The sequence below is a fragment of the Homo sapiens genome, chromosome 8 (assembly GCF_000001405.40).
Source record: "Homo sapiens chromosome 8, GRCh38.p14 Primary Assembly".
Lineage (NCBI taxonomy): Eukaryota > Metazoa > Chordata > Mammalia > Primates > Hominidae > Homo > Homo sapiens.
The window spans coordinates 2,092,958-2,108,693 of record NC_000008.11 but is presented as its reverse complement, the minus strand read 5'-3'; the positions used below and the strand labels follow the sequence as shown (position 1 = coordinate 2,108,693).

Here is a 15,736-nt window from a genome sequence, read left to right as displayed (position 1 = left end):
ACCCCCAGGATTTAATTGGAGGACACGAAAGGAATTTAAACTACAAGTCTGAGGGACATAGAGGATAGCTTTAACCTTCACCATTTAAAGAACCCACCTAGTACAGGGGCAGCTGAGGACAAGGCAGGGCACAGTCATGGGGACAAAGGAATTGGGGGCAGGGGTAGGTATATCCCTGGAATATAGGAAGACTTGGAAGACGAAAGGTTAAAGGGAGTCTTTTCCAGATCCTTGCACTTAATGTGAGCTCTTTCCTAAAATTGATTGCACTGGCTGAGAACGTGCTTCTGGCCTGTGACTTTCCTTCCCCTCTCAAGATGTCCTTCTTCAATCTCATTAAAGAAAGATATACACACCGCTCATTTCATCACTATAGTGTATTACCATGAATTTAAAAAAAAAAAAGGAAAGAAGAAAATAACAAAAAAAATAAATAAATAAACAAAATACACTGCATTTTGCATTCCTGAGAAAGTCTCAAGAGCAAGGTAAGAAAATCTGGGCTCTAAGCCACTTCATTTTCTCTCCTTCCTTCTTAAAATTAGAATCAGAAAGAAGATGGTGATCTCCAAGGCCTTCAAGAACATGTCTATTCAAAATGGAAAAATGAAGTTAGATTTTTCTGCCCAAAAGTAAATTCATATTGGCAACTGGTTTCACAGGGAGGACTGGCTTTCCCAGTTCAACCTTCTGGTAGGAATTTCCATACATGGAATGAACTAAATCTTCAACTGCAAAGTTTTACCTCAAATATATTTGAAGTCTATACACAATATAAGAGAAGGTGGAATTTTTTCTTTTGCAAGTATTTAAAAAAGTTAAAATTAAGATGGAAACTTTGAAATGGTGCAGAGGAATGCACAGCTTTTCAGAAGTCCTTCAGGATGTCGTGAAGGTACAAAACTGTGTCAAGACCCTGGAGGCAGGGCCAACAGAGGCTGCTTTAAAAGCATGCAAATGGATTTTGGGTCCTTCCCCACCCTGCCTGTGAGTGGTGAACTGAGGACCCCAGAAAGGCGAGACAGTGCGGCCTCCTCATTTGTCTGCCTGTGTCTTGTTAAATGTGCATGAGTTTTCCTGAATTTCACCAACATTGAGCCAAACCTGCACACTCGAGAAGCCGAGAGTGTGATTCTGGCTTCCCCCTCCGTGGATACCTGCCCATCCTCCTGCCCAGCCCACAGCACCGATCCTGGGTCGGATGTTCTCAGATCACAGCCTCTGCATGATATCAACCAGGACAGTGATTGATAACTAAAGGATCTGCTTGTAAACCTTAGGACTCCCCTGGAGATCATTTATGCCATCCCTGGAGAGCACTTTAATAGAAAACTTTTGGAAATTCAAATGCCTTAGACACCCAAAGAAACCCAGAAATCTGAGGATACCATCCAGCCCTACGAGTTCACGCTGCACCACTGCCCCTTCGTTTAAAAATGTCTAAGGCTGACGCTGTCCTGTGGGTGGGGTAGATGACGGGCCACACAAATACACGTGATGCTAGGCAGTTTAAAAAAATCAGCCCTGCCTGCATGAGACTGTGTGCCTGGTGAACTCAGACCTGTGAACCTATCTAAGAAAACTATTGTTTTTCCCCTTGATCACTAAACAGACTTTTCTCACTTCTCTCTGCCGTCTTCCATGGGTAACACAGCAGCAGATTTTCACTTCGTCAGTTAAAATTATTTTACATGCATAAAAAAATTTTTCTTTGATCATCTGATTTCTCAGTGTTGGAAGGAAGGGAAGACTCTTCCACCCGTAGGTCTCTCATTAATTTCATGGATTTCTTAGTTAATATGTTACCCTCTGCATACCAAACTATTAAAATGTGGCTAAGACTCAACTTTAAAAGTACAAATTGAAGGCTATACAAGCAATATATCAGGACCAGAGACTACTTGGTGGAAACAGTATAAACTTTAGAGTTTGTTTAATTTCTAAAGCAAGTTTTGGCTTATATACATAGCCCCCACCGCCAGCCTCCTGCAAACATACGTCTTTTTTCTAAGCAAGTAAGTCTTTTCTATGTTGGTGTCAATCTTTGAAAGTGTGATAAAACCAAAACAGGCAAGGTTCTGCCATATAAATATTACCTTCTGGGTCCAGAACAAAACTGGAGGACACTCCGTCTGTATCACTTACAGACACGGAGTAAGTCCCTAAATCCTCCTTATCCGGATTCTTTAAGTACAGCTTGGAGCTAAAAAGGAAGAAGAGTAGGTGAATGTCGATCATTTCTGTTTGCAGGAACTTCTAAAAGTTTCCAGTATCCAACTTCCAGGCCTCACTTACTGATCCCCCACGGTTTCAATTTTAAACCTCTCATCATCTGAAATCTCCTCGTAGGATTTACACCAGGTGAACTGAGACGCGTCTGTCATTTCCTGGCAGTCGAAGCCCAGATAGATGTTGCCTTGTTCATCGACACCAGCACTGATTTCCTTGGTGCCTGCATAAGAAGAGTATGAAGTGAGCGGCTTAGGGACACGGTGTTCTTTCAACTCTCTTTTGGGAGAGGGTGATATGGTTTGGCTCCGCGTCCACACCCAAATCTCATCTCAAATTGTAATCCCCAAGTGTAGAGGGAGTGAGGTGATTGGATCACGGGGGTGGTTTCCCCCATGCTGTCCTCATGATAGTGACTGAGTCTTATGAGATCTGATGGTTTTAGAAGCACCTGGCATTCCCCCTGCTGGCACTCACTCTGTCCTGCCGCCCTGTGAAGAAGTGCCCTCTGCCATGACTGTAAGTTTCCTGAGGCCTCCCCAGCCACGAAGGACTGTCAGTCAATTAAACCTCTTTTCTTTATAAGTCACCCAGTCTCAGATATTTCTTCATACCAGCGTGAGAACGGACTAATGCCGAGGGGGTACCCAATGCAGAGACCTCATCTTACACCAAATCATCAGTTGCATTTAATGACCCAGGACTGATGAGAGAATCGTGAGAGAGAAAACACTTTAGGGAGGACCTGGAGGGGCTTGGTTGTTTTGTTGTTGCTAATTTTTTTTAATTTACCATATTTCTGCACACGTCCTTCCCTGCATCTCATACAACTGCAGAAAACCTCTTAGGGCTGCCTCTCCAGGCCCTGAAGATCCTGTTCTCTCTGGAATCTCCTTCTCTGACCCTCAGGGGAAGCCCAGCAGCCATGTGCCCACCATGAAGCTCCCCCTTCACACAGCTCTGCCTTCTCCATGGGGCCTTGCCTTGTCTTGTTTGGGAGTAGGGGTTGTTTGTGGTTTATTTGCTACTTTTTGACCCAGGTGAACATCTGGCCGTGTGCAAGGCAGAATCTATGTCGTAGGAATTAGGAATTGGACGAGACACATCTCAGCCTCTGCTGGTGAGTGGAACTGAGGCCATGAAGTGTCAGTGCTCTCGGGTTATGAAGAAGACACAGATGCAAGGAAAGCCAGGTGGCAGGGTGAGATGAAGAGGCCACCACAGACAGCCATCAGGATCTTTACAGTCTGAGGCTGCACTGCTTCCTGACACTCAGGTCACACTCTGGGGCTGTGGTTTGGATGTGGATGATCCCCTCAAAACTCACATTGAAATGTAAAAGCCAGTGCAACGGTGTTGGGAGGTGGAGCCTTTAAGAAGTGATTAATGACTGGGGGCAGCACTCATGCCTGTAATCCCAGCACTTTGGGAGGCCGAGGCCAGAGGATCGCTTGAGCTCAGGAGTTCAAGACCAGCCTGGGCAACATAGTGAGATCCTGTCTCTATAAAAAACAGAATAATAAAAATTCTTTTTAAAAGAGGTGATTAGGTCGTTAAGATAGACTCGTGTCTTTCTGGAAAGACTGGGTAGATTCTTGCTAATAACCACGGCTGCTGGTTGGTTAAACTGGAATGGAGTAGTTCCAGTGAGAGTAAATGTTATAAAGCAAGGCTGCCTCCCATGCTGGGTCCGTTTCCGCACACACCCAGTTCTCTACCATGTTGTGGGGCAGCGGGAGGCCCTCACCGGAGCCACCAGAGCTGCCGGAGCCACCACAGCAGATCCCGGCACTGTGCTTCTTAGACTTCCCGCCTCCAGAATCATGAGCCAAATAAACTTTTTTTTTCTTTTTTTTTTTTTAAATGGAGTCTTGCTCCGTTGCCCAGGCTAGAGTGCAGTGGCGCGATCTCGGCTCACTGCAACCTCCGCCTCCCAGGTTCACCCCATTCTCCTGCCTCCGCCTCCTGAGTAGCTGGGACTACAGGCGCCCAACACCATGCCCAGCTAATTCTTTTTGTATTTTTTAGTAGAGACGGGGTTTCACTGTGTTAGCCAGGATGGTCTCGATCTCCTGACCTCGTGATCCGCCCGCCTCGGCTTCCCAAATTGCTGGGATTACAGGCGTGAGCCACCACACCCACGCCCCAATAAACTTTTAAAAACAATTACCCAGCCTCGGTGTTCTGTTACAGCAACACAAAATAGACTGTGTATCCTATGAGTGTGTGTCCTGCCTTCAGAAGTATTTGCCCTTTTTAGGTTGACTCCAGGGAACTTTTATTCGTTGAAATCAAGAAAATTACCAACAGCTTTTTAAAATTTTCTGATAAAAATCCAGCAGTAATATTTAAAAAATGCCCTCCTTCCTGCACGTGGCTTGACGATTCGAAGAACAACCCCTGCCAAGCATGAAGATGACCCAAAGTGCTCTCCTTCTCATCCAGGGCCATTAGTGCACAGGCAGAGATTTAATTGCATACTTCATTTGCCATCCAAATCTTTTTAAAATAACGGCAAGACATCCGTTCATTTATCCGTACACCCATCCATACATGCACACATAACACATGCACTATCTCCCACTCATTTATCCATATACCTGTACATACATACACATATACACATAATATATGCACACTCTCCCACTCATTTATCCATATACCTATACATACATACACATAAACACATAACACATGCATGCTCTCCCACTCATTTATCCATACACCCATCCATACATACACATATACACTAATACATGCACACTCTCCCACTCATTTATCCATATACCTCTACATACATACACATATACACATAATACATGCACGCTCTCCCACTCATTTATCCATACACCTCTACATATATACACATATACACATAATACATGCACACTCTCCCACTCATTTATCCATACACCCATCCATACATACACATATACACAGAATACATGCACACTCTCCCACTCATTTATTCATATACCCATCCATACATACACATATACACATAACACATGCACACTCTCCCACTCATTTATCCATATACCTATACATACATACACATAAACACATAACACATGCACGCTCTCCCACTCATTTATCCATACACCCATCCATACATACACATATGCACATAATATATGTACACTCTCCCACTCATTTATCCATTTACCCATACATACATACACATATACACATAATACATGCACACTCTCTCACTCATTTATCCATATACACATATACACATAAAACATGCACACTCTCCCACTCATTTATCCACACACCCGTCCATCCATACACACAATACATGCGCAATCTCCCATTCATTTACACACACACCCACCCACCCATACATGAACACATAATACATGCATTTATCCATACACCCATCCACACATCCACACATAATACATGCACACTCTCCCACTCATTTATTCAGACACCCATGCATAAACACATAATCCATGCACACTCTCCCATACATTTATCCACATACCCATACATACATGTACACGTAACACATGCACACTCTCCCATTCATTTATCTACAGACCCATCCACACATACACACATAACACGTGTTCACTCTCCCACTCATTTATCCACACACCCTCATCCATACATCCATAATACATGCACACTCTCCCCACAAATCATTGCTGTTTTGTAGTTTTTGTTGTAAGCCTTACCTGGTCTCGCCTCTACCAGCACAGGCTCCGACGTGTCTGAGGGCTTCCCCACGCCATTTGCATTGACTGCCCGGACCCTGAAGACATAGGTCTTACCTTGCTGCAGGTCAGAGACCTTGAAACAACAGAGGAAACACCAGATGTGTGGAGGTAAAATAAAGATGACTGTGGAGTTTTTCACATTTTATTGTGAATAGGGCCTTTTCAAAAATAGCTTATTTTTCCAGTTAGGAAAATGATACTTAATGAGTTAGAAAAGGAGGGAAGAGGAGATTCACAGTGGTGCAGAATGTGACTTTGGAGGAATAAACGCATTCGCTCCCAATCTGATGGAACCTCTTTCATTTTTTTATCTCTGCATATTTTAAAGCAGAAGTAAAATCATACTGACTAGTTTATAATCTGGTGTTTATATTTAACATAATTCTGTGGAACCAAATACTATTTTAAGTGTGATATTTAACTGTGTAAAGTCATCATTGGGGCATCAGAATTAAATCCATCTCTACTTGTACATACATGGGTTATTCTTATTAAAACCTGCTTGGATAAACATCTATATATATTTACTAAGCTTCTAGTTGATTTATGTAGCTGATTCTTAGAAGCTGACTCATTCATTCTAAAGACACTGGCTGTTTCCTGTCATCAAAGGGTTTCCGGAAGGTGTCACCCGTGGAAGGCCCTCTCAGCCTGTGCTCAGGTGCCGGACCCAGACGTGGCTGTGCTTTAGGGAAGGAAGCAGGCCCACCCCACCACAGGGCCCAGCACCCAGAGAAGAAAACCTCTGGGTTAAGGCAGTTGGCAACTCAGCTGGAGCATGTAGGCCTCCTGGGGCTCAGTCCTTACACCTGACCCAGTCACTGAGGAACCGCAAGTGCTAAAAACAGAAACATTTGGAGAAAGAGAGGCTGGAGGAAGTCACACATGATAGTTTTGCTCCATGTATGAAAACTGTGTGTATATCTGTGTGTGGTGCTTATCAAATGGACTTTAGCGATCACATGAATTAAGTAAATTAAATGCCCGGCGTGAAGTGGAAGGACATAATACAATAGGCACCATCCCTTTGGAAAGCACACAGACATAGCCCATGAACAGACAATTAACAGCTATTAGACTGCAATGTGGAAGAAAACAGGCGTGTCTGCGCAGTTCCCCAGGAGCAAACAGCATGTTGGTGTGAATGGAAGGAGGGCTCTGCGTCCTCAAGGCACTGTTCTGTCATCTGCTGGGCCCCACAACGCGCATGGCGGCTGCATCCTCAGCAGCCACGCCCCGGTCATCTGAACAGGTTCACCTCGGGGCTCGGTGCTGGCTTGCGCAGAGATCAACAGCACTTTCACACAGAGGGAAACGCCAAGACGAAAGACTTACCTTTATTTTTTGTGGTTAGTTTGTTTTATTTTTGTGTGTGTGTTTTGTTTTTGAGACAGAGTCTCGCTCTGTCAACCAGGCTGGAGTGCGGTGACTCAGTCTCAGCTCACCGCAACCTCCGCCTCCCGGGTTCAAGCGATTCTCCTGACTCAGCTTCCCGAGTAGCTGGGATTACAGGTGCCTGCCACGGTGCCATGCCCGGCTAATTTTTTTGTATTTTTAGTAGAGACGGGGCTTCTCCATGTTGGCCAGGCTGGTTTCGAACTCCTGACCTCAAGTGATTGGCCCGCCTTTACCTCCCAAAGTGCTGGGATTACAGGCATGAGCCACCACAGCCGGCCAAGACTTACCTTTAAATAACGGCTGGCTGTTGTCGTCTGATTGACAGTGATCCACTCTCCAGCATCCTCCTCCCTGAAGTCCACGAAATATCCAGAAACAGGGCTGCTGCCGGAGTACACAGGGGCCTTCCACAGCATGACCAAGGACGTGTCCCTGACCTCACAGAACGTCAAGTCGTAGGCAGGACCTGTGAAGTCAGATGCCACCTTGTTTCTGCGCGCATAGCCAGTCCAGCACACCCACCGCCCAACCCAGCCCCGGGGACCCACTGCTCCTCTGGGAAGCCCCCCACCAGGACCATCCGTATCTGTTCCCCATCTGATGTTTATCAGCCTCTCTTGCAGAGCAGGGTAAGGAGGGTGCTCAGCATGACGTTGGGGGTCAGGGAGGAGGGCCCAGCCTACGTGGATCTACGTAGAATCATTCAGAAGTCCACACTGCATTCTCGGGACCAGCAGATGCGATCACAGAGAGGAACGGTGTGCGGGAAAGGACAGGTTCTCAAGTTACCCTCCACGGGGCTGGACACCTGGCAGTCACAGTCACTCAGGGAGCCTGCCTACCTGGCCGGAAGCACATCACTGCAGCCCTGTCCTCTACGAACACCCGCGGCAACTCTGAGGGCATGTGGTGCGGAGGCCCAGGTCCAGGCAAGCACCAAGCGGTGCAGGGAAACAGAGAGGCAGCCCCGCCCCATCTTCAGCTAGTCTCACTGTGGCCTTGAGCCTTGAGAGGCCATCTCCTATCAACCCTCAAAAGAGGCTCGGGAAACTAGAATGACTTTTTTCTTCTGTTGGTTTTCTAAGGTCCAAAATTTAATTTCATTAAAAGAAGAAAGGTAGGAAGGCAGGAAAGAAGGCGGGAGGCAGGGAGGGAAGGAAGGAAGGAAGGAAGGAAGGAAGGAAGGAAGGAAGGAAGGAAGGAAGGAAGGAAAGAAGGAAGGAAGGAAAGAAAGAAGGAAGGAAGGAAGGAAGGAAAGAAGAAAGGAAGGAAAGAAGGAAGGAAGGAAGGAAAGAAGGAAGGAAGGAAAGAAGGAAGGAAGGAAAGAAAGGAAGGAAGGAAGGAAAGAAGGAAGGAAGGAATTTTCTAATTGGCTTATTCATCTGGCTTCTTAGCAGCTGATTTGCTAACTCAAAAGACGCTGACTAAAAGGAAAAAGGCAGTATACTCTGGCCATAACATTGGAAAACACTCTGAACTTTGAACTTTTTCAGCTTCAACTTTCAGGATTTACTTTCTCAAAGTATGAGCATATTATCCATTGCACTTAATTCCTGATAGGTTAGAGACAAAGAAATCAAGGTCTGGTACTTGAGAACTTTTGAAAACAGAGAGAAAATGTTAGCAGGGCATGGTGACATGAACCTGTGGCCCCAGCTACTCATAAGGCTGAGGCAGGAAGATGGCTTGAGCCCAGGAGTTCAAGACCAGCCTGGGCAACATAGAGAGACCTCATCTCAAAACAAAAAACCAGTAGAGTGCGAGCTAAATAAATGCAGGTCTGCAACAATGATGCCTTTTAGAAGCAGAAGCCCCGAGATCCCCAGATGGCCTGAGAGGACAGCAGGAGCTCACCCACGAATGAGAACCCTGTCGTGCCTCCCCCGAGATCCCCAGATGGCCTGAGAGGACTGCAGGAGCTAACCCACGAATGAGAACCCTGTCGCGCCTCCCAGCTGGGGCCGGGGCTCGCACCTTCTCCTCCACCTGTGACCCTCTCTGCCTGCTCCTTTGGGGTAGGTGACCTGGGCCAAATCCGTGTCATAGGTCAGGGGATGCATGGGAAGCTGTCCCTCTCCCCACAGTCTGGGTCCTCCTGTGCTCCCTCCCACCTCACCCTCAGGGCCTCCTACTCTGCCCTCATCACTGGCCTCTGGACCACGCACAGCCCAAACTAGATGCTGGGTCTGCCTGATTCACAGCCCTGCACGGCGCCTGGCGCACGGTGGCTCTGCGGCTGCGGGTGTCGGAGGAACAGACACGCTGTGAAGGCTGGCGAGTCCAGAGTCGCAGCCACAGAGGCCCCTTCCCAGCCAGCCTGTGCGCTGGAACGCGGGTGTCCTGGGGGCAGCGACTCACCGGGCTCCGGCATGGTCCAGGCCTCACACTTGAAGTGCTCACTGGGATCTGAGGGCTCCCCGATGCCGGCCAGGTTGACGGCGGCGATTTTGAACTCGTAGAGTGAGCCTTCCGTCAAGCCGTCCACCTATTCAGATTTTGTTTAAATTAATACATGAGATAAAGGATGCCTTACAGCCCACTGAGGGGGAGGAGTTGTTATAACTGGCTTGTGAAATAAAATATGAGAGGAAGGAACCTTGTCGGGAAATTGGACCAAATATTTCAGGAAGGACCTCGATGTGGCCGACGAGCTGCAGCCGCATGAAACCTTACGTGTCCTTCACTCAATCCCCAAAGTGATTTCCCAAAGTGATTGAGTCCTTCACTCAATCCCACTCCTGCGGGGGTAGGGGACAGGTGATACCCCAGCGGCAGGTAAGGAAACTGAGGCCCAGAGAGGCGACGGTTGCCCAGGGCCAACTCAAGGGCGGAGGCTTCGAGGAAACAGGCACTCAGGCCACGCACTGTCCCCTGAGCGGGCCCTGCCCTGCACCCAAGGGGGGTCACCCTGGAGACGGAGCCCACCACGTCCCCCATACTTGGACTCTGCATGACAAGAGCCCCCGGGCTGCCCATGTCCCTGGGGTGCTGCAGTCTGGGGCCACCCACCGGGCCCTCAGGGACGCTGCCTGGCTGGGGGACAAAGCACCAGGGAGGCCTTTGACCAACACTACGAGCCTCGACTCCCCCGGGCTTGTGGCACAAAAACGCTATCTGGGTAAACACTGTCTCAAAAAATAGCTTCCGAAGTAAGATATCTGAGGATAAACGGCTTCAGTTTATCCTCCTCACTGGACTAGCTGTGAAGCACTCAGAAAGTAAGCAGGTACTTTTCTCAGGAATCTCGGACCGAGTAAAGAACTGTTGTGCTGAGTGAGATGACCCAGGGACAAAAGGACAGACACTGTGTGATCTCGCTCAGATGTGGAATCTGAAACAGTAGCACTCACAAAGACAGGGAGCTGAGGGGCGGGTGCCGGGTCGGGGAGGCGCTGGACAGAGGGACAAAGTTCCAGCAGCAACAGGAGGGGCGAGTTCTCGTGCTTCCTGCACAGCGTGGTGATGATTTAGCCCATAATAATGTGTTGTAGACATATTTGAAAAACATTTTTTAAATAGATTTTAGGCTGGGCACAGTGACTCACGCCTGTAATCCCCGCACTTTGGGAGGCTGAGGCGGGCAGATCACCTGAGGTCAGGAGTTCCAGACCAACCTGGGCAACATGGTGAAACCCTGTCTCTACTGAAATAATACAAAAATTAGCCGGGCGTGGTGGTGGGCGCCTGTAATCCCAGCTACTCAGGAGGCTAAGGCAGGAGAATTGCTTGAACCCAGGAGGCGGAGCTTGCAGTGAGCCGAGATCGTGCCACTGCACTCCAGCCTGGGTCACAGAGTGAGACTCTGTCTCGAAAACTAAATAAATATATAAATAAATAGATTTTAAATGTTCTCACTGCAAAAAATTGTAAGTACTGGGAGGCAATGGAGATGTTAATTGGCTTGATTTAATCATTCCATAATGCAAACATATATTAAAATATCACATTGTACCCCATACGTACAATTATTATTTGTCAATTAAAAATAAAATAATTTTTAAGTTGAGAACATTTAGACATTGTAAGGGATCAGAACAGAGGTTGAACGTGGGCAAAATATCAATAATGTCACAGCAAACTAGAAAGTTGCCTATATATCATCATATGTGTATAAAATATTAACATATATTATAAAGAGATAGATTTATAAGGCAGAATTTTCTAGTAGACAAAGATTAGATCTTCTAAGGCCTTACACTCTCCAAAAAAGAAAGCCCTCCTGTTGGAGTGTAAGTGACTCCCCTGAGGTCTGTGGCTCCCCACAGTCCGGACGGGAGCTGTAGTGTGAGATGAGGGTCATTCATCTATGCTCAGATGAGGGGTCAAGGGCCGGACAGGGAAACAGAGCAATGGCTGCCAAGGGGGTGTCTGGATCTGACCCCAGATCTCTGAGCTCCAAGTCGATGTCCTTGCCACACTCTGCACCTGAGCACCAGGGGCACTGAGGCAAGGGACTCTCTGGGAGGCCTGAAATACAAGAATGTCTCAGGGAAATGGTGGGTGACAAGCAGAGAGCCAACATTACTCTCTTCCTAAACAGACATTCAGCGTGACCCTCCCCTCAGGCACACATGTGAGACTCCGTCCCTGCCCTCAAGGCCTCAGAGCCTAGAACAAGGGACATTACCACAGGTACTGGGACCAGATGCTGGTCACACCAGAGGTCATGGACTCACTGTCAGGCCCACTCCATCACTGAGCTCCCTTCTTCACTGCTTCTCAGAAAGAAAAAGAATATGATTCCTAGGATCTTTTTAGCTCCAAAACTTCATGATCTCATGATGCTATTTTTTAATCCATTTTTGTGTCTGTATCAAACTATCTAATGTCATCAAACGCAGAAACATTGCCAAAAATGTAAAGAACCACCCAGGCAAAAATAGACGAAGGAATAAAAACCAACTGACCGTTAGGATTGTCGGTTTGCTGGGTGAGGAATTGACCTCGTGCCAGTTTTTATGGTGAACTTCACGCTTGTCCAGGTAGTAGCCCAGGATGGGCGAGCCACCACTGAATTTCGGGACCTTCCAGCCGAGGGTCATGGAGTGGCCGTCACAGTTGAGGAGCGTAATCCCATAAGGATGGGACGGGACGGCTGCAAGGAAGCACAACCAGGGAGTTACCGAGGGCCTCAGCTGGGGGCTTTGTCCCCGGGGCAGCCAGCTCCAGTGTGGCAGAGGGAGGAGGAAGCAACGTGGAGACGGGCCTGAACACTGTGCCCTCTGATCCCTCTCAACCCACACTTAACCACCTTGGTCTTTACACCTTTTTAAAGGGGATGAGTACAAAAATAAATAAAAATTTATCTCATATATATGTATTGCTATTTCTAAGTGTATCTACTAAGGCTTCCATAGGATGAACGGTTTAAATCTGGTATGAACATTTGACACAGCAGAAGATGTTCTGTCTTCTCGGCCCCTTGAAAGAAGCTTGGCGAAGGAGCTTTCACTTTTACAACCATAAGGAATAACTATTCTGCATCTGTGGCCAGAGATGACAGATACGATTCCAGTTTGTTTTAATTTCCTGCACAGTTAGAGGAACTTCAGGTTCCTTCAAATGAGTGTGAATCCGTGTTTCCCTGTTTGAGCAGGGCATTTGAAACGGACCGCCTTCTCCTAACAGGTCGAGAACGGATGGGCCTGAGTCTGCTTGCCCCAGCTCTGAGTCACCTCAATGTGGCCATCCTCTGTTACCTGAGACACAGGTGACTGGAATTAAGTGATTCTTATCATAGAATAAAAACAGGCCAGGTGCGGTGGCTCATGCCTGTAGTCCCAGCACTTTGGGAGACCGAGGCAGGAGGATTGCTTAAGCTCCTGAGTTTGAGATCAGCCTGGGCAACATAGTAAAACCCCATCTCTACAAAAAAATCAAAAAATTAGCTGGGCGTGGTGGTGGTGCCTGTGGTCCTAGCTAATCAGGAGGCTGAGGCATGAGGATCACTTGAGCCCAAAAGCTCAAGGCTGCAGGGAGCTGTGATCACACGACTGCACCCCAGCCTGAGCAACAGAGCGAGACTCTACGTCGAAAAAAAAAAAAAAAGAAAGTGGTTTTCCTTTAGTAGGAATGACATTAAAAAGAAAATGGGAATGTTTGAAAGTCCCTCCTGGAAAAAATTGAGAGGAGATTAATCTTAAAACAAAAGAGTCAGCGCTATTGTACCTAGCTAGATGTTATCAGATTTGACATTCCTTGGAAATCCAACAGCAATATCATTAGAAGATAAATTTTAATTTCTGAAAATGTTGCAAATTTAGTCAAAGATGAAAAATCATCAACGAGCCACATAGTTCCCTCTGAAGTGGGAAGATAACCCTGTGAATCCAAGGGTGTCCCATGTGGCATTTGTGTTTCAAAATGTTTCTGAGTATGCGCACTGACTTCCTGAGGTGCATTTCATGAGAAAACAGAAAGCCACGAGGCTGCAGCACAGCTTGATACAGCAACTGTTCTAGGGACGGTCCCTGAGATTTAGGATCCCAATTGTCTCGTTTGATCAAAATAATAAAAACTGTTAAACACCACTATTTACCAACAAAGTCTCAAAGTTACATAAATATGACATTCTCTGAAGTGACTAAAGTTCCTAGAACTGAGAACAGCTAAAAAGGTCATGGATGTTGCTGTATTTTAGCACATATTTTGAAAAGAGAAATGTATCCCCTACAGCATATATATATTTTTGAGACGGAGTCTTGCTCTGTCCCCCCAGGCTGGAGTACAGTGGCACGATCTTGGCTCACTGCAAACTCCGCCTCCCAGATTAGGTGACTCTCCTGCCTCAGCCTATCGAGTAGCTGGGACTACAGGCGCCCGCCACCATGCCAGGCTGATTTTTGTATTTTCAGTAGAGACGGGGTTTCACCTTGTTGGCCAGGATGGTCTCAATCTCTTGACCTCATGATCCAGCCACCTTGGCCTCCAAAAGTGCTGCGATTACAGGCATGAGCCATTGCGCCAGCCTACAGCATATATTTTAACATGAGTACAGGTATTTGGCAACAACAATGTTTTCTATTTTTAATTTGCGTTTTATTAGTGTATTATCATTTCTCCCTCTCACACTGTCATTTCCAAGACAAGCAGCCAACCGAGAGGCTTCAAAGAAACTCAAGTTCTCTGTTCAGGAATTTAGTCCCCTTTTCCCCTTCAATGACATTCCAAATGGCATCACAAATGTTTATTCATGCAGAAATGACAGTGTATGGGAGCAATCGGCACACAACAGCCTGTGAGTGACTTACTGAGTGCGGCCTGCACTTTTATGACGTCTGATTCCTGGGAATTTTCACTCATCCCCACAGCATTGACCGCCTTGACTCGGAAGATGTACTGCTCTCCCGTGGTTAAGCCGTGCACCACGAACCTGAGAAACACAGGGATCAGGGTCAGAACTGCCAGGCTCCACTTTTTCTCTCCTGCAGCAGAAGCAAAAATCACCCTGAACGCGCCATAAAAAATTTTTATGGATAACATACATCCTTCATTTTCAATTCTAGTTAATTAGCTCAACATGTAGAGTCCGACAGTAAGGTCACAGCACCTAATTATAGCAGGAGCTGACTACACGTGGTGCCAAAGCCACTTGTTCTGTGAGTTCACCTTTGCTTTTGTACTTTCTGGGCCTCCTCTGGATCAGAGGTCTATTATCCAACAGTATGCCATTTCTTATCTAAAAGAACCCGTGTATGTAAAACTTAATTAGCAGTAATTACACTGCAGTGGTTACAGGCCAAGACTTGGAAGTCAGATGGACTAGGCTCGAATACTGGGGCTTTGAAACCTCACAGATTTTATGGTCTTAATCAACCTCCTTAACCCCTGTAAGACTTTGTTTTTCTATTTGTAAGATGGGGATGATAATTCCCACCCCACAGCACTATTGCAGGCACTACATGGAAAACTCTAGGTGGACAACTTAGCACAGATGCTTTGTGTATGATAGATATTCAGTCCGTGTAAGCAATTATTATTTATCATATATAGTCAATAAATATTCACTAACCATTTCCCTGTACTGGAATCATGTTTTAAGTTTCTTATTCTGATCGATCTTTCTGCATTTGCTGTGGGCTGTGAAGAACATCTAATTGTTATTCTTTTCAATGACATCTCTTCTTGTTAGCCACCACTTTTTACAGTGTATTTTTTTCAGATTTTAAAAGGAGAAATGGCTGAGCCATAATTGATCATCTATCCACAAGGGTGGTTCTGACAGCTGCTGACATTTTCCTAAGACGCGTATCGCAGAGAAGCCTAATAACCTCAGACATCCCTGCACACTCAGCAGGCAGCAGGAGCAAGTCTCTCCAAAGGCAGGGTCACTGGCTTTCCCCTGCAAAGCAACCAGCATCCCCCGAGGCTGCCCCCACCACAAG

General features: G+C 46.6%; 1 protein-coding gene across 1 annotated transcript in view, besides 2 other annotated features; it reads right to left on the bottom strand.

The window, feature by feature from the left end:
* The window catches only part of MYOM2 (myomesin 2), a 100,411-nt gene that overhangs the window by 36,763 nt on the left and 47,912 nt on the right, over positions 1–15,736 (bottom strand). Inside the window, exons 17-23 of the mRNA NM_003970.4 lie at positions 14,603–14,724; positions 12,260–12,447; positions 9,711–9,837; positions 7,640–7,818; positions 5,913–6,027; positions 2,296–2,452; positions 2,097–2,203 (exon numbers count right to left, since the gene is read on the bottom strand). Coding sequence (NP_003961.3) covers positions 2,097–2,203; positions 2,296–2,452; positions 5,913–6,027; positions 7,640–7,818; positions 9,711–9,837; positions 12,260–12,447; positions 14,603–14,724 — 995 coding nt within the window. The remainder of the gene's footprint in view (positions 1–2,096; positions 2,204–2,295; positions 2,453–5,912; positions 6,028–7,639; positions 7,819–9,710; positions 9,838–12,259; positions 12,448–14,602; positions 14,725–15,736) is intronic.
* Positions 1,903–3,101: an enhancer, noted in NCBI's record as "BRD4-independent group 4 enhancer chr8:2053383-2054582 (GRCh37/hg19 assembly coordinates)". NCBI's record gives its function as "activates an origin of replication core promoter dependent on BRD2, P300/CBP, MED14 and CDK7 cofactors, and independent of BRD4, by STARR-seq in HCT116 cells {active_cell/tissue: HCT116}" and the evidence as "EXISTENCE:reporter gene assay evidence [ECO:0000049][PMID:35650434]".
* Positions 5,967–7,165: an enhancer, noted in NCBI's record as "CDK7 strongly-dependent group 2 enhancer chr8:2049318-2050517 (GRCh37/hg19 assembly coordinates)". NCBI's record gives its function as "activates an origin of replication core promoter dependent on BRD2, BRD4, P300/CBP, MED14 and CDK7 cofactors, with strong dependence on CDK7, by STARR-seq in HCT116 cells {active_cell/tissue: HCT116}" and the evidence as "EXISTENCE:reporter gene assay evidence [ECO:0000049][PMID:35650434]".